This window comes from Homo sapiens, chromosome 10 (genome assembly GCF_000001405.40).
Source record: "Homo sapiens chromosome 10, GRCh38.p14 Primary Assembly".
Lineage (NCBI taxonomy): Eukaryota > Metazoa > Chordata > Mammalia > Primates > Hominidae > Homo > Homo sapiens.
Window position 1 is genome coordinate 124,210,614 of NC_000010.11, and position 26,562 is coordinate 124,237,175.

At 48.4% G+C, this 26,562-nt stretch overlaps 2 annotated features.

Annotated features, from left to right (window-relative positions):
* Window positions 10,870–10,969: an enhancer, noted in NCBI's record as "active region_4164". NCBI's record gives its function as "activates an Ori minimal core promoter by ATAC-STARR-seq in GM12878 lymphoblastoid cells {active_cell/tissue: GM12878}" and the evidence as "EXISTENCE:reporter gene assay evidence [ECO:0000049][PMID:35858748]".
* Window positions 10,980–11,159: an enhancer, noted in NCBI's record as "active region_4165". NCBI's record gives its function as "activates an Ori minimal core promoter by ATAC-STARR-seq in GM12878 lymphoblastoid cells {active_cell/tissue: GM12878}" and the evidence as "EXISTENCE:reporter gene assay evidence [ECO:0000049][PMID:35858748]".

The following is a 26,562-nucleotide window of genomic DNA, read 5'->3' on the forward strand; positions in this document are numbered from 1 at the left end:
GTACCACAGAATTATCAAGTGCAGGAGGGGTGGGAAATAAACCCCACAAAGAGTCAGGGGCCTGGCACATCAGTGAAGCTGCCAGTTCAAGAACTACCTGTTGTGCCTTGAAAAAAAAAAAAAAAAAAAAAAAAAAAGATAGAGGCACAATACTTGACAGGCCTTCCTAGAATCTGGAGACATCCCACATCTGGGAATAGTGTTCTAGCACATTTACTGGGTGGGGCAAATGGCTGCCAGTTTGAGTGGGTCCCAGAGTAAGAGAGGAGTCTACAGCAGGTTTAGGCTGTGGATTAAGTGGCTCTGCTATGTGGGCCAGTGATCTGGCACATTCCATGGTGCTGGAAGTACCCATGGTAGATGAGGAAGCAGGATGGAGCCTTTGGAAAGCCTCCTTTTTTAAGTTTCTGTTTGTTTTAAAAGAACTAGGACCAGCCACCACCTTGAAGAATCAGTGACAGATAAAACAAACCTAACATGAGGCCCAAGAGGATCTGAGCAGTGCAAGGGGTGGACTGTAGCAGATGCTTTTGGTGTCCCCAAAGAAATAGAACTAATTAGAGATATAAACATCTATACATTGACAGAGAGAGAGAGATTGTAGCAAAACCACCATGATGATAATGTTTGACTCCTGCAGACCAAGGTGTTCCACAGCAAGGCCTTTAAACAATGCCCATAGCATAGATAGCCGCTCATAAAGATACCGTCTAACCTCCCCAGTGGACAAGAGTTTTGCAAGAAAGTCTGAGGCATGACCAGCTGCACATGTTTTACCCTAAAAGCTTGCTATAGGAGGGATATTTTCTGGAGGGTGGGTGCAGGAATCCACTGTCTCTCAGCCATCTGAGACATCACTTCTGTTCATAAGGCCCTATTAAATGTTTCTTTCTGAGAAATTGGATTTGTCAGCCTCTTTCTTCAGCCTCTCAGCTCCCTTGGCCTTTGGGGATAGGTTTGCATAGACCTGCTCACCATGGCACAGAGATTTATTTTAAGGAATTGGCCCATATGCTTGTGGGGGTTGGCAAGTACAAAATTTATAGGATAGGCCAGCAGGCTGGAATCTTGGGCAGGTGTACTGATGGTGCGAACTTCCAAATGCATTGGAAGTATGGAGTCTGAAACCTGCAGGGCAGGCCAACAGACTGCAAGGTCAGGCAGGAGTTAATGCTTCAATCTTGTGGCCAAATTTCTTCTTCAGGTAACCTCAGGTTTTGCTCTTAAGGCCCTCTGCTGATTGGATGAGATCCACCCACATTATCAAGTATAATTTCCTTTACTTAAAGCCAACTGATTGTATGTGTTAACTACATCTACCAAATACCTTCGCAGAAACGCCTAGATTAGTGTTTAATAACCTGGTGCCGTTCCCTGGTGAAGCTGACACATGAAACTAACCATAATGGACCCTGCCCTCCACCCTCCATGTCTGTGGCATTCACGTCTACCTCTACATGTCAACAGTTGCTAACCTCAGACACTTGGGATGTTCTGCCTGCATTAGTCAGCTCCAGCTGCCAGAACAAAATACCGCAGACTGGGTGGCTAAGATGATAAATATTTATTTCTCACCATTCTAGAGGCTAGGGAGTCCAACGTCATGGTACCAGCCAATTTGGTTCCCGGCAAGGGCCCATTTCCCGGTTCACAAATGACACCTTTCTGTGTCCTCACATGCTAGAGAGAGAGCAAGAGGGCTCTCCCATCTCTTTTTGTGAGGTCACTAATCCCGGGACAAGGGTTCCACCCTCATGACCTAATCACCCCAAAGTCCCCACCCCCTAATACCATCACCCTGGGATCAGGCCTTCAACATATGAATGTGGGGGGTATGCAAACACGCAGTTTATAATCCTTCCTTCCTCTGCCTTTCTTTCTTTTTTTTTTTTTTTTTTTTTTTTTTTTTTTTTTGAGATAGTCTCTCTCTGTCGCCCAGGCTGGAGTGCAGTGGTGCTATCTTGGCTCACTGCAACCTCTGCCTCCCGGGCTCAAGCAATTCTCCTGCCTCAGCCTCCCAAGTAGCTGGGAATACAGGCGCCCACCATCGCGCCTGGCTAATTTTTGTACTTTTAGTAGAGACAGGGTTTCGCCATGTTGACCAAGCTGGTCTTGAACTCCTGACCTCAGGTGATCCACCAGCCTCTGAAAGTGCTGGGATTACAGGTATGAACCATCGTGCCCGGCCCTTCCTCTGCCTTTCTCTTCTACTCAGTTCTTCAACGGATCAGCTGACACCCACTCGCACTGGAGAGGGCAGTCAACTTCACTGAGGCCACTGATTCCAGTGCTGAGCTCAGCCTGAAACACCCACAACAGACACACCCAGAAATAATGCTTAGCCAAATACCGGGGCAGTCTGTGACCCGGCCACATTAACACATAAACTTAACCATCCCAGGCCAGGCACCGTGGCTCACGCCTGTAATCCCAGGACTTTGGGAGGCCAAGGCAGGAGGATCACATGAAGCCAGGAGTTCAAGACCAGCCTGGCCGACATGGTGAAACTCCATCTCTACTAAAAATACAAAAACTAGGTGGGTCTGGTGGCACATGCCTGTAATTCCAGCTACTCAGGAGACTGAGGCAGGAGAATCATTTGAACCTGGGAGACAAAGCTTGCAGTGAGCTGAGATCCCACCACTGCACTCCAGCCTGGGTGACAGAGTGAGACTCTGTCTCAAAAAAAAAAAATTTTTAATAAAATAAATAAATAAATAAACCATCACAGTCCTCAAGGCACAGAACATTTGACCTCTAAAAGTCTCAGTGATCTGGAAGGCCAGCCCTCATTTCACAGGGCAAGAGGGTGAGCTTTGGAGAGGGGGACACCGGGCCCCAGATGTCCTTAGCTCCTGGCCAGCACCAGTTGGTCTCACCTGCCTGGCTATTCATTCCAGAGTGGATGCACAATGGCAGGAGTTCTGGTCTCTGGTCCAGTACTTACGATGCAGCCCCAGGTGGGTGACAACTTCTTGGAGCCTTAGTTTTTGCATCATCAATGTGAGAATAGTAACAGTTCCTCTTTCATAGAATTGTAGGGAGGATTAATACATGGGACTCATCTATGAAAAGGCCTCCACATGGTGCCTGAGGCAAGGAAGTGCTCAAATAAATGTTAGACATTCCTTAAGATTGATGTAACACGCCACAGAGAACTTCAAAAATACTACCAGGAACCATGATTTTAATTTATAAGGCTTTCTAACCCACAAATACAGCTAGTCTCTTCCCCCCATAAAATTCATACAATTTTCTGAAAATTTCAAGATTGATGGTACCCTTGATCAAAGTGTCACCCAAGGCAGCCATCAAAATCCAGCCCATCCTGTCTATTTCAACCTGGGCTGATAGCCGGCAGCAAGATCATGTGATTTGTTGGCAAGGGCCCTGGAGGGTCCATAAAGCAGGGGAGGCTGGGCAGAAAGATCTGTTTAATTCCCACTTTCCAAGGGGTTGTTATTCAACTCACCCTCCTCCCTTCCATCCAAGAGTAAATCAAAAGCTGCCATCATTGGCTTCCATAGATCAGCGGCCGGCACTCTGCACCCGCCCTCACCTCTGTCCCATGGTACTCCACACCCAGGAAGCAGCAGGCAAGTTTAATTAGTCCTCGAAGCTGTTCCTCGTTAACAATCCATCCCCTCCTGGTTCCCAAACACCTTGAGATCTGTCTCCATTAAAGTCTGGGAGGAATGACCCCAGTTTGAGGTTCACGCTCATTAGTTGCTGAGACCAGCTGGTGGTGAGCTGCTGGCTGTGAGATGAGACCTGTGGTTGGCTGTGAAATTAATGAATTTTTCTTCCTTAACCTCCTGAGCCTGCATAGTCTACCCCCGGCCAGTAAACAATCAAAGGCCCAAAGGACACGTTATTGCAATAAACACCCAGGGTGTTCTAGTTAATAAAGTATCATGAATTCTGCATTTTATTCAGAGGAACACATTTTTAAAAATACACTGAACAATAAAGCGACACAGAACAGAACTGTATCTTTCTGGAGAAGTCCGGAGGCTAAGCTGTACATCTCAGGGCCTCAGCAGCGAAATCCTCAATTGAGTCCAGGCAGAGCAGGAAGAGGAGGGTTAACCAGGACTGCTGAGATTGAGGGTGCTACAGCACTGCACTGGCTGAACACACTCTCCAGTTGTTTTGTAACTGGTGGGCATAGCCAAGTTTCCCCAGACAGCACAAAGCCCCCAGTCTGCAGAGAGAGACCATGGGTGGCGTAGGGGTTCTCAGAGTGGCCCCCGCGCTGGTGACTTCAGTGGGAGCTTTGTCTGAGATGGGGGGACATGAGGCCAACCCAACCGGGCTAATGGAGGCCAAGAGAAGAACAAGAAGGAAATTCATTTATTAAGGACCAGTTCGCACTGTAAGACATTAATCCTTCCCTTTTTAAATTCATTCCTTACCTGACTTCCCTAATAAAGATAAAGTGTTCACTTCCTTGGGTACTTAATCTATGTCAGACCCTAGGGTAAGCATTTTACATATTTCTTCCCCAAAGCCTCATGGCGAGCCCTGTGGATTTGCTGCCTGGAAGGCATCCACAACCGCCTTCCCTGGCCTTCCTCTGCTAAAGACTCTAAGGGGTCCATTGTCCAGATGTTGTTGAAATTGGGGTGATCATCCATCATGATTCTGGCCAAGAAGATGTAAGCCAAAGGCCCTAGGGAAGTCCCCCCTCCTTCCTGAGCAGAGTTGCTTATTCTTCTTTCTAACTGGAACATAGATGAGATGCTGGAAGTAGAGCAGTCATTTTGAGGCCATGAGGCAGCATGAGGACAGACCCAACATGCTAAAAATGGTGGACGGGGAAAAGACAGAAGGAGTCTGAGCCCTGTGGGGAAGACCTGATGGGCCATTGCAAGAACCCCAGACCTGCTGCTCTGGATTTCTCGCTAGGTGAATGTTTTAAAATAAACTTCACACCTATGCCAGCTGAGTGTTCTGTTACCCCTAGTGAAAAGCAGTTTTTGTTTTTGTTTTTTTGGGTTTTTTTTCTTTTTTTTTTTTTGAGATGGAGTCTCTCTCTGTCACCCAGTGGAGTGCAGTGACATGATCCCAGCTTACGGCAATCTCCACCTTCCGCGCTCAAGTGATTCTTCGACCTCAGCCTCCCAAGCAGCCGGGACTGAGGCACACGCCACCACACTCGGCTAATTTTTGTATTTTTAGTAGAGATGGGGTTTCGCCATGTTGGCCAAGCTGATCTCAAACTCCCGGCCTCAAGTGATCCACTTGCCTCGGCCTCCCAAAGTGCTGGGATTACAGGCGTGAGCCACCAAGCCCATGTGAAAAGCATTTCTAACCAATACATTCCCACTCTCTAGATGCGGCAAGTCAAATCGGTGGGGTGACTGCTGAAGGCCACCTGGGAGCGAGCGGTAGGACTAGGATTCACTGTGACTGTGCACTTCTTGTCACTCGGTCCTCCCTGCCATCATCCAGTGCCCCAGCAAGGAATCACATGCATACAATTTGCAAGTGTTTTTGATTGTCACATATCTCGAATGCATTAACTCAGAAACAAGGCTCGAACAATCCATGTATATAACTGACAGCTATAATTAAAGCTATTGATAATATTAATCTTAATAATAGCTAACCTATCTCATTTAACCTGACAACAACCCTATGAGGTCATTGCTTCTCACCAGGGGAAACTGAGGCACAGAGTGGGTAAGTAACTTTCCCAAGATCTCACAGCCAGTGAATAAGCCGAGTTTCAAACCCAGGCTGCCTGGCCCCGAGGCCCCCATGCTAACCACTGCCAGTGTGGGCAGGAGCAGATCTCAATAGCTTATGGTGCACGGCTCCCTTTGAATGTCCCAGATGAAACCACCTGCCCCGCCACCCCTCCCCAGGATGCCCAGGGTTCTATCTGTCCCCCTACACTCCTGCCAGCGAGGCACAGAGGCAGGAAGGGTGCAGAGGCTGCTGGACCATCTTTGGTCCCTTGCTGGGCTCTTTTCCTGAGGCTGACAGGCGGCCTTCTCATTTTGTTTGCCCTTCCCTTATTCATCCTGAGCAAGCCTGTTTGCCAGACTGACTTCTCCAAAGTTGGGACCACAACAAGAACAGACAACACATTGATGCAAAGTCTACAGAGGTTTTATTTCACTCCAAAACAGAAAAACCAGAGTCCCCTTCCCTCTCTCTTGTTCTTTCTCTCCTCTTCCCTCCCCCTTCCATTGCATCTTTAATATGCTATCCCATTGCATCTTTAAAAAGCTACTTCTGCAGGGCCACCCATTTATGCGACCTGGAGCTGGGAGGGCACTGGCCACCATCTGATCCAAGTTCCTCTTGGCGGCCATGAGCCACGTGACCTCAGACGAGTCGCCTCCTGCCTCACTTTCCTCAACAAGAAACTTCTTTCCATGAAACAGAAAACAAATAGATCGAAAAGCCAGCAGGGAAGGGTCCGAGGGAAGCCAAAGGGGAAGTGCAGCCAGGAAAACACAGCCAACTCCCCACCCGCAGCAAGTTGCTGGATTCAGAGTGTCAGCCAGGGTCCCTTTCCAATCTCACAGTTGAAGAGCGAGCAGTCCAGGAACCAGTCAGGCACTGCCCTCTGTCACCACTGACTGTGGACCTCTCATTGGGGAGCAAGTGGTGCCGCGCTCATCAGCACAGACTCGCAGCCATGCTGCCCACGTTCAGACACTTAGCACTTCCTCTCGTAGCTGAGATGCCTCGGCCCATGGTGCTGCCTCTCTGCCTCAGTTGCCCCTTCTGTGAAATGAGAATCCAAACAGTACCTGTCCCTGCAGGTTGGGAGGACCCATGGAGAGGACACATGTAAATGCATTTGAACGCTGATATGCACACAAACGTTCCCAACAGATGGTTAGTATTTGTGTTGGTTTTAGTGGAGGATCTTTGAGATATAGGCACTGCTTACAATCTTATCAGGGGAAGGAAACAGGAACACTCTCAATGCTAACAAGAGGAAGAAGGGAGAAATCGCCATGCCCACTTTGTAAAGATGGAAGCTGGGACTCAGAGAGGTTGAGTTGCCCAAGGTCACACAGCTAACAACACAACTGCGACTCAGACCACGTCTTCTGACTTGGGTACCCTGTTCACACTCACTTGGACAGAGCTGAGCACCAGGGCCCAGGGCTTCTGGCTGCCTCTGAGAGAACCACCCAGGTCCTAAGGACTCAGCCCAAAGCTCAAGGAAAGATGACAGGTTTTCCAGGAACCTCACAGTGGAGTTCTCTGCCCCACACTGGTCCCTTCTAGAGCTCCTAGGTTGGTCTTAGTGAAGGTGGCTCAAGGTGGCTTCAATGGTCTCATCACTCTCAGAGGACAGTCAAGGAGGTAATGATGTGAGATTGGCCCCTGAGAGGGGAAAGCTCTGAGTTCCTACTCTAGAAGCCCTAGCCTCCTCCCCTCCCTGGTATGTTTTGGCAACTTGGGAAACAGATGTGGGTTATGCAACCTCTGCCATCCCCACAGCCTGTTCTCTATAACATAACAGGTGCCCTTTGTGGTAGAGGAACACTTCTGACACAAGGTTCCAACTCTGCTGCCTGAGGATATGGAATGAGACAGCTGACCTGCATCAGGTCAGGGCTGATCCAGGGGAAGCAGACTGGAGCCGTGAGGAGTGACAGCCTTCAACAGTGGCATGTCCTACCCCAGCTGTGTTTCTGCCACCCTCCTCTATCCATGAGAAAGCACCATCATTTATGCCTGTCTGCAGCCAGGGCAATTTTTCAAGCTTTACTCTTTTTGTTTTATTACAATAGAATTTTCTTGGATTTCCAAATATAAGATCATGTTTCAGTGTTAACTGACTGGTTCATGGAACACCTGTCCCAGCTCCCTGACTCCCAGGTCCCAACACACATTTGAGCTGCACATCGCCACCCAGAGGCTAACTCGCTGCCATGAGCAGGTGGCCCAGAATGTGATGCGGCCCCCACAGACCTGTGCAATGCTGCATGGAATGCCGGAGGGCCAGGGGCAGGCTCAGCCTTGCTGAGGAGCCCACACTGTTTCTAATACATGTCTCAGCCAGAACCAGCGCCCAGCATGCCACAGAAGGCGCCTTTCTGAACTCGTAAAAAACAGTCTGACATGCGCTGGCTGAAGGCGCCAAAAGAAATGGGTGCCAGCCCATTTCCGAGGATTTGGCTTCCAATATGCATCCGAGACACAGACACAGCATGTGGAGTGGTGTCTGAGCACCACGCCAGGCCCACAGGGAGCCAGGAAGCGCCCACCCCACAGGGCTGCCTACCTGCCACCCACCACTGCAGCGGGCTTGCAGACTGCATGGTCAGCCTGCTTCTCCCCGCATTCTGACCCCTCTCAGCTTCCTTGACTCAAGGATTCTTCCTCTGGGGGCCAATCTCACATCTCTACCTCCTTGACTGACCTCTGAGAGCAATGAGACCATCCAAGCCACGTTGAGCCTCCTTTCCCAGGACCAACGTTCAGAATCGAACGGTAAGGAGCTAGCAGTGTCCACTGCGATCGGGGGCAATGCGCTATGCCAGCGTGAGCTCTGCTGTCCTCACAACAGTCACAATCACCAGTTGTGATTGCACCTGTTTTCAGAAATGCCAACTGAAGCTTAGTGAGATTTCAGAAGTCTGTCCCGAATGCCCCCCGCACCAGCCCCAGCACGCCGTCTTGAACATGGGGAGCATGCAATAGACATCTGAGGAAGGAATGTCAAGTGGACCCCTGGTGTGTCTACCCCGAGCAGAAGCAGCTGCAAGAAGAGGAGAAGGGGGTCTTCCCAGACATGCAGGGACATCAGAACAACATGTGAGCCAGGCAGGTGCCACAGCCCTGAGAGCATAGAGCTGGGGGATATTCAGGAGGAGGTGTTTGGTTGCAAATGAAAAAAACCCAAATCAGTTACCTCGGCCAAAAAGGGGGGCCCTTCATAAGCTACTATAAAGGGCGGCCTAGGGAGTGCATCCCAGGCACTGCTGGATCCAGGGTCTGAAGTGACTGATGCCCGGAGCCACCCTTCTGTCTGTTGATGCCTCATTCTCTGCTCCTTGACCCTCCTACGGGGACAGGCTCTGTTCCTGTACCAGGAACTTGCTGGCCTGTGGGCCCTTAGTCTCATCTTCCATCCCACGTACCTAGTCACAACACACCGCCCCATTGGTGCCGGCTAGTATGCCCTGAACCAGAACAGGGGGAGGAGGGCAGTCTTTGACCAGGATGGTGCCATGCGATGATCCTGTGGCCAAGTGGGCACTTTGACCTTTGCTCCCTCCTCCTGCATCCTTCCAGTCAGTGGCCACCCAATTTCTGCCCAGGGACCCTTCTGTCCTCCTCCCTGTCCCCCTCTGGGACGCCTGCTCCTTCTCTCTGCCCCTCCTCCACTCTTTCTCCCCCGCCATCTCCCTGCCTTACAGAAATTGCTATTTCCTTATGCATCAACTCAAACAACACCAATTATGACTTCACCCAGGAAAACAGTACTGGATGGAACCCGTGGCCGCTCGTGATGGTAGAAGCTGCGATTAGTAGTTTGATATGGACGAAAAGTGATTTAAGAAGCAAATCTCTGCTGTAAGATTCTAAATGCAAAAAAAAAAAAAATTGATCCCTATGAAAATAATTTCAGCAAAATGGAAATGGAAACATCAGGAATGGCTTAACTGCGCTGTATAGAAAATTGATAGAGGGATTACATCAGCTTAATGGGGTCCCCGCTGGAATTCTGATACTTTCTAGATGAAAACTCATCACTGTTGGGTAATTCTGGTTAAAATGCTGACATTCAAAATGACTTTGGGGTCAAAATATCCACAGAAGCAAAAGAGTTAGGTCAAATGTCCCAATCTCTGACCAAGGAGTTAAGGTTTTATACTTAGTAGCCCCAACAGAAGTAGGGGATGAGATGAAGCAGTGTCCCTAAAGACAAAGTGGAGGAGGTGGGAATAATTCCAGAAAAACAGTGGAGAGAAGGAGCTGGATTACAGACACAAATGCTGAGCTTCCCGCCTGACTCCCTGCTGAGGCATGGGTGCCTCTCGGTCCCTGCAGGCTCGATCCCTGCAGATCTCTGCAGATCGTATCCATGATGGGGAAGGCCCCCTTCCGCCCTCTGCCAGCCCTGCACCCAGCTTCTGCAGCCCAGGGGCTCCCACCTACCACGTGGTGGCCTGAAGCCCCCACCAAAGTCCCAGCAGCCTCATGCCAAACTGACTTCTGTGAGTCCCAAACACAAACAGAAAGCAAAAGTGCTTAGCAAGTGCTATTTTTTCTAAATGACATTTATTGTTTTTGTTTTTCTAACCACAATATAGTGTAGTCTGAGGCAGAAGCTTTGGAAGAGGCAGAAAAGAGAAGGAAAAGTATCCACTCCAGCCCCCTGCTCATGGAGGAGCGCCGCTGACCACGTGGAGCCTGGCACCTGCGCATCTGGAAGGAAGGGCAGGCCCCGGAACCTGCGGTCATAATCGTGCCTGTGGGAGAGCCCAGCCAAGGAGAGGGCTCCCTTCCAGCTCCTTGCCAGGACACACAGCCCTAAGTGTGTCCTGGGCTGCTCAGAGCTGCCATTCCCACCTGTGACGTAGGGGCCACATGCTGGCTTCAGGAGGGCGGTGAAGACCTGGGGCTGCGGAGACGAATGGAGCCCCCCACAGTGGTTCTCCAGCATAACCTTCTGAGCTTCATTCTCCCCATGGGGAAAATCAGAGTAACCATCCCACAGGGCTGCTGGGAGGTGAAATGAGCGATTTCCAGGCCTGTGTTTGTGTCCTCCTGGCAAGCACCCTATCAGGCCAGGATGCTTGTCATTTCCACTTTACAGATAAAGGAAATGAGGCCGGGGGCATAAGTTATCCCTGACCAAGACCTCACGGCTAGGAAGTAATAGGACTGGGACTCACACCTCAGCTTGTGAGAGCCTGGAGCTCTCTTAACCATGTGGCTACCCAGTGGGAGGGAGAGGAGGAGGCTTCCCTCACTGAGGAGAGAGGAACCACATGGCCCTATCACCAACCAAGTCACTCTCTGGGGACCATGGCATTCCCTCTCGAGGAGCCCCCAAAGTCAGCAGCGCTTCATTCATCCTTCCATACATTCTAACTTCCAAGTCTCCAGAAAGAACGAGATGAGTCATTTCTGACCAGGGAAACCTAACAGTTAAAAAGGGGCCTGTTTCTCTTCCAGTTTCCAGGTGCGAGGGTCAGAGGATGTGGTCAGAAAGGACTTTTTTAAAAAGTATTCTACGTGTCACTGGTTACCGCACACTGCCAGGGCTGCACGTTGAGTCGGATGTCCACACCTACATGGTCCCCTAGGACTCCTCCCAAAACACAAGGGGCCCCTGGGCCCCTGGCCAGAGCCCCCCGTCGCCCAGCCCCTCACTCCCCAGGCTGCACAAACATTTGTCTTTCCAAATCAGGAAGCTGCCCTCCGCCGCCTTTCAGAAGCAAAGTAAAAACAGCTGCTATTTTTGAAAGGGTATTTTTGTAAAACAATCTCTGGTTTCCTTCAGGAATTTCAACCCCAGAGCCCCCTTGGTGATGTGGTTTCTGTAGGAGTGAACATACATCCGACCGCGCAGGCAGGGGGACTGCCGCTCGCTGTCCCCTCCACCTCTCCGCCGAGGCATGCCCGGTGTCCAGCAACCCTCACAGCCCCAGTCATCCACTCAAGTCCATTTTCACCAGCATCTCTTAGCCCCTGCTTTCTGTCAGAAGATGCAGGGACTCCAAGATACAGAGAAGTGGGTCTCTGCCCCTCAGGGGCTCACAGCCCAGGACAGACACACAGATCAGCATCTGCGATGCACCGCGGTCTCTTGTATATTTCATGCAGCCTCTCACGCCTTGTCTGTCGGGGTCCCTGCACACTGGGCACCACAACCAAGCCTTGAGGAGGAGTTGGCCCAGTTCCAGCAGCCCTCAGGCTGCTCACAGTCCAGTGGGGAGGCCTGAGCGTAGGGCCAGGTGGCCCAGGGAAGGGGGGGATTCACAGATTCACCCTGTGTAGGGCCCAAAGGGAAGCCTCATGGGGTCAGGGTATTTGCATGAATGGACGCAGCTGAGTTCACCAGGCGTCCAGGCAAGGAAACAGCAGGACAGAAAACATCAAGAGCTCTGGGCAGTTTAGCTTGTCTGGGAGTGGGGGCAGTGGGCCCAAGGCGTGTTGGTGGGAATTACCGAGGACGCCATTTGAAAAGGGTAAGTATTGCCCTCCCTCCCACTGCTGGAGGCGCTTGGAGGCTTCCACCTTGAGCTCCGTAGTCAGGAGACCTCAGCATCTTGTGAGGCATGAGCTGTAACAGGGAGTGTGTTCAGGGCGCCGCCCCCCAAGCCCCAGGCAGCCAGGATTTGCCCATTTTCAGAGCTTCATCATAGCAACTCCTAAACATACTGAGTGCTTAATTTATGCAAAGCACTGTTCCAAGCTCATAAGTCACAGAGCTGGGATTCAAGCCCAGGGAGCCCATTACCTGAGCCTGTATCAATAACCCAGGCAGGCCTTGCAGGGGGTTCAGGGAGCTCCTGAGAGTGACTTTCAGGCAGCTCGCTGTCCTGGCCAGAGCTAGTCCATCCCATCCCAGCCTCGGATGAAGAGCAAACCCTGAGGCAAGAGAGGATTGGGGGAGATTGACGACGATGCAGCTGGCTGCCAGCAACATCCCTGGCACCTAACATGCATTAAAGCTCATTATGTGCCAGGTTTCGTGCGAAACCTTGTAACTGCATTAGCACATTTATCCCTCAATCCTATGAGGTGAGAACCACTTTATCCCCATTTTACAGTGGAGGGAACGGAAGCCAAAAGCAATTAGGTTTCCTGCCTGGAGTCACAAAGCAGTCAAGGCTGGGCCAGGAGTCCAACCCAGGTGGTGTGACAGGCAGTCCGGACACTCTCCCGGCCACTTGGGCATCCTTGCACAGCTGAAGAGCCTGGACAGTAAGGGGAGGTACCACGCAAGGGCAGTGATGACAGGGCACAGCATAACCCTGCACCCCCTTACCCAGGCCTCTTTATAGATGCCCAGATTTGGGGCAGAACTGCCTGGCTGACTTTCCTGCATCAGTGACATTTGACACCTGACCTGGGAGGTTTTGAAGTGAGGAAAACTGATGACACATTTCTGCACATTCCCACTGTTCAATGCCAGCCGAGAACACTCTTGAGAAGTACAAGGGGTTTGGCTAAATCTCCTGCCTGGAATGGGACAAGAGCAGGTAAGAGGCAGCCCCCCTGTACACAGAAGCATCGGCAGGCAGGGTCATACGCATTCCCAGCAGGTTGTGCAGAGGTAGGCTCCTGGGTCAGCGGGAGGAACCCAAACACTGGTGATGACAAGGGCATGCCCAGGCCTTCCTGTGCACTTCCGAGAGCCAGGGCCTGGAGATGGGAACATGTAAGCCAGGCCATGAAGCACTGAGAAGTCTGTTTAACTAAAGTGGGCAGGGATGCTCAAGGACCCACCAGGAGATGGAAGGGGCTGCGGTCAAAGGCCCTGACGCTGGAGGTTTTCAGTCTCACCCCCTCCTTTCTGGCAGTAGAGGAATTCTGAGTGTTTCCCATCTCTTCCACCTCCTCATTTGCTGCTGTTTTCCAACCCTTACTTTAAATTCCCCACCAACATACACATGCACACACAAACACACAGCTTCTAGAGCCCCATCTCCATATATCAAGTGAAAAGAGTGATTTTCATGGGTAAACCTTGTTTCCCAAGGATGCAGCCTGGCCCTTGGTCAATGTGAGGGGAACTTAACCAGCTCCTCCAAGACTGAGATTTGGCTTCGAGTTCAGCATGGAGCCGGGACCCCCAGGGCTGGTCAGTGAAAGTGAGTGGAGCTGAATACCAACAGGGCTGGGGTGGAGTGGGTCCAGGGCCCACGCCACAGCCCTGGCTCTTTCCACGCTGCGGTGGCCACCTCAGCCCCAGCCTGTGTCTGGGATGCTGTCGAAGTAGCGAAGTGCTTCATGCACCAGCATCAGGTGGCCGTGATCAGGCTATGGGTTTAACGCAGCATGAAGATGGGTGGGGAATGGGATCACCTCTCTCTGCCTGCATCCCCCAGACCCTGGAGTCTGCTCCACAGAAGGCAGAAGCTGAGTGAGTGAGCTGGGAGGCCCGGGAAGCATATCTCCAGTGCCATTCCCAGTCTGGGCACCAGCCTCCTCTGCGCCCTGCGGGCTACGGGCCAGCCCCTGGGCTCCAGCCTCCCACGTACGATGCCTATTTGGAAGTGAACCAGGATAGAATTTCTAAGGGTTGAGCCACCTTCCTGGGATCACTTGCTGAGTCAGATGCTGCCAGAACCACAGAATGTCCCCAAAATTCACAAGACACCCATATCCTTTCTCAGGGCACCGGCTCATTTATGTGCAGGCTGAAGCTATTTGGTTTGTTCTAAAAAGCGTGGCACCAGCAGCTTCAGTTAAAGAGATCGCAAACTTTGCAGACACAAACAACTTGAAAAATAGGTCAAATCCTGTTTTGTACATTCACAGGGCTGCCTTTTCCAGCGTTTCTCCCTAAAATCAAATCAGCAGTGTATGTAAATGAGTTGAGAGAATTCATTACGTTAATTTATCTAATTTTGGAGGCAAACCTGAAACAAACAGCGCCTCACTTTCTAACACTCAGGCCCTCATAGAATATTGATTCCTGAGTTTTACTGGCCTTGCACGAAGGCCTTTTTATAGCCCCAAAGGAATGAGATCATCAGTTTCCTCAGGCATACAAATGTCCTGCTCAGAGGCCCTGAGACAGCATTCTCCAAGGTCATTTCAAGGGATGGCTGGCATGGTAGACCACCCAAAGCTCAGATTTGGGAGTCTATGGGACGTGCATGCAGAAGCACTGTGCCTGGGGCCACCGATCCCAGCAAGATCAACAGCTGCGAATGGCAAGTGGTCCCAGCAGAGGTGGCGGTGAGGTCCATATTATTTCAGGATCCTGGCAGTGTTCATGGTAGTAAGCTGTGGAATTAAGAATATTTCCAGGGCCAAGGCTGCCAGCAACAGAGCTGTGTTCATGGCAGAAAGAAGCCCAGACAAACAGTGATGGCTTCATCACCTCCTGCCTCTCAGTGGGCCAGTGTGATGTCCTCAGAATGATACATTTCACTGTGAAGAACCCCAAATTCCCATGTGACCCCGGAGCCAGCCGTTTTAGCAGACTAACCATGATTTTCATCCAGTTTTGTGAACAGTGATTGCCACTGCTGGCCAGTCCCTCAAGGCAGCCAAGTAGGTGCAGGACTGTATTTTATATTTGGAAGAACACAAGGAGCTCTGTCTGACCCCAAATGTCTCTTTGCTGCCTGTTGGTAGCTGGGGCCAAGGGTCTCCTGCAGCTAGGATCACAGGCCTTCAAGATGGGTGCAAGGCAGAGCACACAGAGCTCAGGGCACGCGGTGGACTGCTTTGCAGTCCTTGCTCTGCCTCGGAATACCGTGTGGAATATTGTGTACAATACCGTGTGGAATGCCATGTGGAATATTGTGTGGAATACCGTGTGAAATACCATGTGGAATATTTTGTGGGATACCGTGTGGAATATTGTACGGAATAACATGTGGAATAATGTGTGGAATAATGTGTGGAATACTGTGTGGATACCATGTGGAATAACGTGTGGAATACGGTGTGCAACACAGTGTGGAATACCATGTGGGATATTGCGTGGAATACCGTGTGGAATACAGTGTGGAACATTGTGTGGAATACTGTGAGGAATATAGTGTGGAATACTATGTGGAATATTGTGTGGAATACCATGCGGAACACTGTGTGGAATAACGTGGGGAATATTGTGTGGGATACCATGTGGAATAACGTGTAGAATATGGCGTGGAACACAGTGTGGAATACCACGTGGAACATTGTGTGGAATACTGTGTGGAATACAGTGTGGAATACTTTGTGGAATACCGTGTGGAATATTGTGTGAAATACCATGTGGAATATTCTTTGGAACACTGTCTGGAATACCATGTGGAATACCCAGTGGAATATTGTGTGAAATACTGTGCAGAATATCGTGTGGAATACCGTGTGGAATACTGAGTGGAATACCATGTGGAATACCGTATGGAATACCATGTGCAGTACCGTGTGGAATACTGTGTGGAATACCATGTGAAATATCGTGTGGAATACTGTGTGGAATAACATGTGGAATACTGTATGGAATACCGTGTGGAATACCATGTGGAATATTGGGTGGAATACCGTGTGGAATACCAGGTGGAATGCCGTGTGGAATACCATGTGGGATACCATATGAAATATCGTATGGAATACCCTGTGGAATATTGTGTGGAATACCACATGGAATATTGTGTGGAATACATTATGGAATATTGTGTGGAATACCATCTGGAATACCATGTCAAATACCGTGTGGAATATTGTGTGGAATATCATGTGGAATATTGAATGGAATACCGGGGGGAATACCATGTGGAATACCATATGGGATACTGTGTGGAATACCATGTGGAATATTGGGTGGAATACCATGTGGAATATTGTGTGGAATACCGTGTGGAATACTATGTGGAATACCATGTGGAATATCGTGTGGAATATCATGTGGAATATTGTGTGGAATACCTTGTGGAATAGTGAGTGGAATACCATGTGGAATACTGTGAATAATATATTATTGAATATTGTATGGAATATTGTGTGGAATACAGTGTGGAATACTGTGTGCAATATTGTGTGGAATTCTGCATGGAATATTGTGTGGAATACCGTGTGGAATATTGTGTGGGATACTGTGTGGAATAACGTGTGGAATATTGTGTGGAACACCATGTGGAATATCGTGTGGAATATTGTGTGGAATACCATTTGGAATACGGTGTGAAATATTGTGTGGAATACCTTGTGGAATACCATGTGGAATACCATATGGGATACTGTGTGGAATACTGTGTGGAATATTGGGTGGAATACCATGTGGAATACTGTGTGGAATATTTTGTGGAATACCATGTGGCAACCTAGTGAAATATTGTGTAAGATAACGTGTGGAATAACGTGTAAAATATTGTGTGGAATACCATGTGGGATACTGTGTGAAATACTGTGAGGAATATCGTATGGAATATTGTGTGGGATACATTGTACAATATTGTGTGGAATACCGCCTGGAAAACTGTGTGGAATATTGTGTGGAATACTGTGTGGAATATTGTGTAAAATACCATTTGGAATACCATGGAGTACTGTGTGGAATATTGTGTGGAATACCGTGTGGAATACTGCGTGGAATATTCTGTGGAATACCACGTGGAATGCCATGTGGAATATTCTGTGGAATACCATGTGGAATATTTTGTGGAATATTTTGTGTAATACCATGTGGAACACCATGTGGAATATTGTGTGGAATACCATGTGGAAACCTAGTGAAATATTGTGTAAGATAACATGTGGAATAACGTGTAAAATATTGTGTGGAATACTGTGTGGGATACTGTGTGAAATACCATGAGGAATATTGTATGGAATATTGTGTGGAATATTCTGTGGAATACCAGCTGGAATACTGTGTGGAATATTATGTGGAATACCATGTGGAATATTGTATGGAATATTATGTGGAATACTGGATGGAATACCATGTGGAATTCTGTCAGAATACAGTGTAGAATATTGTGTGGAATACCGTGTGGAATATTGTGTGGGATACTGTGTGAAATACCATATGGAATATTGTATGGAATATTGTGTGGAATACCATGTGGAACATTGTGTGGAATACTATATGGAATACTGTGTGGAATACCAGCTGGAATACTGTGTGGAATATTATGTGGAATACCATGTGAAATATTGTGTGGAATATTGTGTAGAATACCATTTGGAATATTGTGTGGAATACCATGAGGAATACCATGTGGAATACTGTGTAAAGTATTGTGTGGAATACCATGTAGAATACTGTGTGGAATATTCTGTGGAATACCGTGTGGGATATAGTGTGAAATTCCGTGTGGAATACCATGTGAAATATTGTGTGGAATATTGTGTGGCACACAGTGTGGAATATTGTGTGGAATACCATATGCAATACCATATGAAATATTGTGTGGCATACAGCATGGAATATTGTGTGGAATACCATGTGGGATATAGTGTGAAATTCCATGTGGAATACCATGTGAAATATTGTGTGGAATATTGTGTGGCATACAGCATGAAATATTGTGTGGAATACCATATGGAATACCATAGGAAATATTGTGTGGAATATTGTGTGGCATACAGCTTGGAATATTGTGTGGAATACCGTGTGAAATACCATGTAAAATGTTGTGTGGAATATTGTGTGGAATACTGTGTGGAATATTGTGTGGAGTACTGTGTGGAATACCATGGGGAATACCGTGTGGTATTATTATCTGGAATGTGGTAATATTATGTGGAATAATCCACACGGTATTCCACATGGTATTCCAAACAATATTCCACATGGTATTTCACAATATCCCCCATAATATTCCACACAGTATTCCACACGGTATTCACCACAATATTCCAAACAGTATTCTACAAAATATTCCACATGGTATTCCACACGGTATTCCACAAGGTATTTCACACAATATTCCACACGGTATTCCACACAAAATTCCACACAGTATTCCTCATGGTATTGCACACGGAATTCCACATGGTATTCCACACAATATTCCACACGATATTCCACAAGGTATTTCACATGGTATCCCACACGTTATTCCACACAATATTCCACACGGTATTCCACACAGTATTTCACATGGTTTCCCACATGGTATTCTATGCTGTATTCCACATGGAATTCCACACAGTATTCCACACGGTATTCCACACGATATTCCACACGGTGTTCCACGCGGTATTCCACACAATATTCCACACGATATTGCATACAATATTCTACACGGTATTCCACACGATTTTCAACATGGTATTCCACATGTTATTTCACACAATATTTCACATGGTATTCCACACAGTATTCCATGTGGTATTCCACACAGTATTTCACATGGAATTGAACACAATACTCCACATAATATTCCACATGGTATTTCACACAATATTCCACATGGTATTCCACACAATATTCCACACAGTATTCCACAGTGTATTCCACACAGAATTCCACGTGGTATTCCTCATGGTATTCCACACAATATTCCACTTGGCATTCCACATGGTATTCCACACAATATTCCACACGTTATTCCACACAGTATTTCACACAGTTTCCCACACAGTATTCTACGCTGTATTCCACACGGAATTCCACACAGTATTCCACACGATATTCCACATGGTGTTCCACACGGTATTCCACAGAATATTCCACATGGTATTCCACACAATATTTCACATGGTATTCCACATGGTATTTCACAGAACATTCCACACGGTATTCCACAGAATATTCCATATGGTATTCCACACAATATTTCACACGGTATTCCACATGGTATTTCACAGAACATTCCACATGGTATTCCACAAAATATTCCACATGGTATTCCACACGGTATTCCACACGGTATTGCGCATGGTATTTCACACAGTATTGCACACAATATTCCACACAGTATTCCACGCAATATTCCACATGGTATTCCACACGGTATTTCACACAACATTCCACATGGTATTCCACATGGTATTCAAAACAATATTCCACACAATATTCCAAACGGTATTCCACATGGTATTCCACAAGTTATTTCACACAATATTCTAAGTGGTATTCCACACAACATTCCACACGGTATTCCACATGATATTCCACATGGAATTCCAGAGGGAAATCCACACCGTGTTCCATATGGTATTCCACACAATAATCCACATGATATTCAACACGGTATTCCACATGGTATTCCACACAACATTTCACATGGTATTCCACACGGTATTCCGCACAATATTCCACAGGATATTCAACACGGTATTTCACGTGGTATTCCACACAATATTTCACATGGTATTCCAGACAATATTTCACATGGTATTCCACATGGTATTCCATGTGGTATTCCGCACAGTATTTCACAAGGAATTCCACACAATATTCCACATGGTATTCCACACAATATTCCACATGCTATTCCACACAATATTCCACACAGTATTCCACAGTGTATTCCACACAATATTCCACATGGAGTTCCACATGGAATTCCACATGGTATTCCTCATGGTATTCTACACAATATTCCACATGGCATTCCACACAATATTCCACACAGTATTTCACACGGTTTCCCACACGGTATTCTATGCTGTATTCCACATGGAATTCCATACAGTATTCCACACGGTATTCTACACAATATTCCACATGGTGTTCCACACGGTATTCCACATGGTATTCCACACAGTATTCCACATGGCATTCCACACAATATTCCACACGTTATTCCACATGGTATTCCACACGGTATTCCACGTGGTATTCCACACAATATTCCACATGGTATTGCACCCAGCATTCCACACAGTATTTAACACAATATTTTACACGGTATTCCGCACCATATTCCACACGGTATTTTGCACAATATTCCACATGGTATTTGACGAGGTATGCCCACTGACTCTGCACAGGTCTTGAATATGGTAGTGGCCTGGATTATCCTGCAGTGATCATTCACTCCCGTTCCTCCACCCCCGCTCAGGCCCATGCACTTTCCTGCCCCATTTATATTGGGCTTGGCCATGTGACTTACTCTGGTCGGTGAGGTTTTGGCAGAAGTGATAGGGTGCCAGTTCTGAGCTTAGGCCTTAACTGGCAAGGCCTGATTTCACTCACACCTTGGGAAGCTCTGACCCCCCCACCTTGAGGGAAGCATGCCCAGTTGGCCACTGACCCTTCATCCCAGACCCAGAACAAGCCCAGCATGCTGCCGAAACAGTTGTCCAGCCCAGCACTGTGGTTGGCCTGCAGACCCTCCATCTGGAGGATGAAGACTTGCAGCTGGAGGCCACTCAGGTGGGGGATGTCTGGGTTTGCAGCATATTGAAGAGATAGGTGGGTGCCCTGGGTTATGTGTCCACCCTCAGCTAATATCTCCATTTCACCTCCAGCACTGCTCAGCTCACAGCACCTGCCTGGCATCTCTCCACGGTGTGACCTTATCCACTGTCCCAACCCTACCCCAGCTCCTCCCTGGATCCTAGACCCAGTGCTCTGCCCCTTTCTGCTCCTCCAGCTCTGACCCTACACATTCCAGCCTCATCCCCACTCAATTCTTCACACCAGGTACAATGCAGACCTGGTTACAGACCAAAGACCCTCAGCAGAGAGGAGGGCAGGAACCCCCAGTGGGCAGGCGCCACACTTTGCATGCTCTTTCCTGAATCTTGGGAGTGGGAGGGTCAGGATTTGAACCTAGGGCCTTCTGACCACAGAATCAGAGCTTGTTTCACTAGGCGTTGTGGCAGCTGAAGTTCACATTCCTCTGAACAAGTAGACTTTCACAGCAATACAGAACCCTTGTGTTGGAAGGGAAGTAGACAGTTCCCTAGTCCAATAAATAGTAGGTGGATCATATGAAATAGCCATTTTTGTAGATTAAACCAAATATTGGCAATTGCATGGGCTTACCAGATTCACTGCTGGTCAGACAATCAAACCCAATCCTACCTTAACTGGCCAACATTCAGTTTGTATTTTCACTGTGTGTTTCACGAAGATTTCAAGAACTCTCAGATGCCCTGCCAAATGCTAAAATTACCTACGCACAGGACATATTCCTAGGATGCCTGTAGTAACCCTACCATCAGAAGAAAAATGGTATCACTTTGAACTACAGTCAGTTCACTTTCAGGAGCATGGATTAGATGCCAACCCTCTGCTCAGCCCTGTAAATAAACAAACAAACAAAGTAATAACAAACACACAACGTCTTCATGATCTCAGCTTTCTTCACTAATTGTTTCATAATGTGTCCCAGAATTCAGGCCGAGTTTGAATTCCATCAAAGATACTACAATCCATTGTCTCAGATTTCGAAGCTGTTCTTTTTTCCCTTCTTAAGTATCAAGAGAGTCGTCAGTAACCACTCTCTTCTGTTGGGTTTTTAAAGACCATCCCCACCCAAATTCCTTCCTGCTGGCCCACCCTCAGGTCTGTGGATTTTCACACTGGCTGGAGGCCCTAAAGACCCTCCACTCCACCCTAGTATTGCCCAGCGCCATCCCCTTTTCACCCTGAGATGTCTTTATTAAGGAAGGAAGAGACGGGATGCCCACCACCATTGATGGATCGCGTGTTGTGTGCCCAGCACCGACTTGGCCCTGGCCGTGTAGTTATTTCCAAGGATTGTCACACCACCCTGGGAGGGACAGAGGTGCTGTTGGTCTGGGTCTGTTGGACCCCAAGCCTATCCCCATCTTTACACAGAACTCAATGTCTACCCAGAACTTGACAGTTACACAGACCTCGATGGCTCTTCTCCAAATGCACTTTGGTCTCTTGAGTCTAACAAGAAGCTTCCCCTCCCTGCTAAACCAGCTTCCTGCCCCGAGCTAGAAATAGGTGGGAGCAGAATAGCTGAGTTGCCAGGAGCAGCCTGTTCCTAAGGGGCCATGGTTGGAAAAGTCACACGACCAGAGCTTCTCTCCTGCTCCGACTTCCTCCAGGTCCTTCCTGCCTTCCTTCCCACGCCAGGAACACAGCATCCACAATTAAACTGCCAGAAATAGACCGGCTTGGACCAGGGTGACAAGACGTGCTTCAAGCCTTCTGAACCCCTGCACAGCCTGGCTCACCCACAGGGAACTAAGACGACTAATTATGGTCAGCTCAGACAAAAGGCAGAGGATGAGATGAGCCAGGCGCTTGGCCAGAAATGAGTTTCTGTCCCCGATATCTCTCCCATCCCTGCTTCCCCTCCAGACATGCTGGCACTCTGTGTCTTTGCACCAGGTCCACCTCAGCGCCCCAGGCTTCCCGTGGCTTCAGCAGTACTGAGAGTCAGAGTCTGGCTGCCCAATACCTGAGCCGTTCTGTGCTCCCTTGAAGCCCCTGTTTACAGCATCCCACCACGGGACCTGCCGATCCTGGTAGCACACACCACGACGCTCCCTCCGGAGGGACCGGCCCAGGTCAGACAGTTGGAAAGAGACTCCAGCGATGAGGCTGGAGAGGTGAACAGGGGCTGGCCACTGAGACCCTGTCACACCAGCCAAAGCTGATGGCCCAAACCACGCAACGTGTGCTTCTGAAAGACTTCCCTGGCTGCAGAGGGGAGGGGTTTGGGGTGGAAGGTGAGAGGCAGGGGCCAAGCCGGAGGCTGCATGGGGTGTGGCAGGGCCATGCTGGGCTCCCACGGCCACTCTGGACAGCCTAGGTGTCAGTCACAGGAGAGGCCCCCCGCTCCAGGCACGCTCCCCCAGCCCTCTGTCCACCAGGCCTTTCCGCAGCCCTGGGTGGGTGGCAGCCACAAGGCAGGTGGCCCTGCCTACTGCAGCGCTCCTGAGGCAGGCCCACTGCCAGGCCCATTTGCGGGGGGCCCAGCACCCCCAAAGCCAAGCACTTAGCTCTGGGGGACCTGGAGCTATGGAAGCACAGTGACAGAGTGGGTGGGGGCAAGAGGAGAGGGATAGGAAAGAGTAGTGTACAGGGAGACCCATACCCTATAAATGACAGAGGCAGCACACGGGCAGGTGTTGGGACTTCTTGCAGTTTCTCCACGGTGTATCTTGTTACCCGGCCGTGGGTGACCTGTGCAGTCACACGGGACCTCACTCAGAAGGGCTGTGTTCTTGGTTTCATACTCCCCTGTTGTCATCTTGCAATTCTTAATAATTTTATATTCAAACTTGCATTTTGTAAGTGAAGTCCAGATGGGTCAAGCACATGTGGGAGCAGAGGAGGCACGTTTGAGATGCGTGTCGGCCTCAGTTTCTGCTGTCTCAGGCTCACCACGGGGCTTCCACAACACATGCACCTTGCACGTGGGGCCCTGGGCTCAGGAGGGGCCCAGGCTTGGTTTACTATTCTGCTGTCACCATCTTGAAATTCTTAATTTCGTCTTTGAACTTGTGTCCTCTGTTCCTTGTCACTCGGTAAGCATCAAATTCTGGTGAGCCCAGGACGGGAGTTCAGTGAGACTTGCCCTGAACACAAGGACACGCTGCGTGAGCAGGACATTGACGGACCCAAGAGGCCACACTTTCCCTTCAAACCAGAAAGCGCTTCCATCTTAGAAGAAAAACAGTGGCGTTCTTAGAAACGCGAATAACCGAGGAGACTTTATCTTATCCTTTCATACTGTCGCTTCCCCACGTTAGCCAACCACTCAGGCTGAAAATGACAACTCAGAGGGAAGGGAAAGGCAGGGCAGCCCTAGTTTCTTCCCTTCAATTCTTCCTCACTCGTCAGTGAGGCGAAGGCAGTGAGTGTTGGCAGAATGTGATTATATCAAACAGCAAAATAAAAACAGTTGAGGGTCTCCACTATCCTGGTAAGAATGAAATACACGTGAATGCAAGAAATACAGAATGCAAGTTGTGCCATTTCAGGGACTCTGTGTATGAGTTAAATGCTCTTACATTTCTATTCAAAACTGACATTATGCAATGTAAAGAATGAATGGTAAAATTCATGCTAACAATTTAAATTTTTAATTTTCTTTATTTAGAACATCATTAAATAGCAAATTTAAAATACCACGATAAGTCTAGAAAGAGACCGGAAGAAAGGAAAAGCTTTATATTTTAGTATCTTCAGAGGCACTTTTTTCCTGCTTTGCACTGAGCTCTGCAAATTATCTACCGTTTCTGCCTGGCCAACTCCTATTCATCCTTCAAGGCTCTACTTAGATGCCACCTCCTCCAGGAAGGCCACCCTAACCCCAATGAAGCATTAAATGCCCTTCCTGCATGCTTCCATAATCAATAACACTATCCTCACCCCTGTGCTGAAATTGTCAATCTGGTCAGCTTTGCGGCTGGACATGATTGCCAGATTTACAGCCGTACAGAGGGCTCTCTCCCTGTCCTCAGAGCTAGCCAGGGCCTCGCACATAACAGGTGCCCCTTTCCTGTTTGCTGAATGAACAAATGGACCAATAAAAATAAAGTGCCATATGCCAGACACCATTCTCAGCATTTTGCCCACACAACCGATGAAATGAACAGATGATGGCATCAGAATTTCTGAGAGGCCACCCCTTAGGTCAGCACTGCCCTGCACAGCAAGCTTTCCCATGTGAACGTGTGTGGTTCAACACACCTTGGGTTCTCTGCCACAGCAACCTACCTGGCCCCCTCCTGCCCTTTCTCCCTTATGTGTAGACACACATGCTGGCCAGTTGGCAAGTTCCTGGAGGGCAGCAACACAACACACCTGTACCTGGGTCCCAAGCGCAGCCCAGAGTTATGAACAAAACCTGTGCTCATGGCTGTTAATGAGTGGGTTTATGAAAAAAAATCTAAGAGAAGACAACCTGACCAAGGCAATTTCGACCAGGCCTATGCATTTCAAACCAAGCTACAGGGAATGCATCTCTTAAAGATGTACAAACTTTAAAAAAAAGTCTTACTATTCTTTAAAACACACTCTTGGGAAATGTCAGTATCACTTTTCACAGGATTAAAAATTGGCAAGGTGAACCTCAGATGCAGACGACAGACTGACGATCATCAGGCCCAGCTCAGCCACTATACATTAAGCCAGACTGGCTCACCAGATCAGGAACACCATTCCCAGATGGGTCTTTGGCAAATTTTCCTGTAAACATGTTCATCTTTGGGATTTTTCCCTTTCAATGAGTGTGTAGTAGAGACTGGCTACCAGCTCACTAATCCCATTTCTTCTTCCTGAGCACACAAGAAGACTACCTCTTCCAGCCTCCCTTGCAGTGAGCTGGAGGCCATATGCCTGGGTCTTGGCCAAAGAGATGTCAACAGAAGTGATGCATACTATTTACAGGATTGGCCATAAAATCATGTGCATGGTTGTCCATGGCAACCCCAGAGACCCTGTGTTGAAAAAGATAAAGTCATAAGATGTAAGGCGCCTAGATCCCTGAGTCATTGCCTGGACCCTCCTCAGACTGTGATGCGTGTGAGACTTAAAACTTTACTGTGTTTAGCAATTGAGATTGGAAAGCGTTTGTTATAGAAGCTAGCATCACCTGTCCTGACAAATACCAGGAATCCATTAAAATGCAAGTAAACAAAAAGGCAACCAAAGTGGTACAAACAAATATAAGGTTTATTTTTCTACGTAACAAGAAGTCTGAGAAGAGGCAGTTGAGGAGTGAATCAGCTGTTCAGGGACACAGGCTCTATCTGTTTTTCTGTTCAGCCGTTCTTAGTGTGTTGGCTTTTGTCCTAACGTTCATCAACACATAGTCACAAGGTGGCTGCTATACCCCTGGCATTCCATTTGCATCCCAGGCAGGAGGCCAGCTGAGTCTGTCCCACACAGCCAATTTTTTCTGACACTGCTTTGGCCAAGACCGCAGTCACCAATGAATGGCCAGCGGGGATTATATTATTATGCTTGCTTTAGTCCAATCGTGATTCGTCCCCTAGGACTGGGGTTGGGGCTTTCCT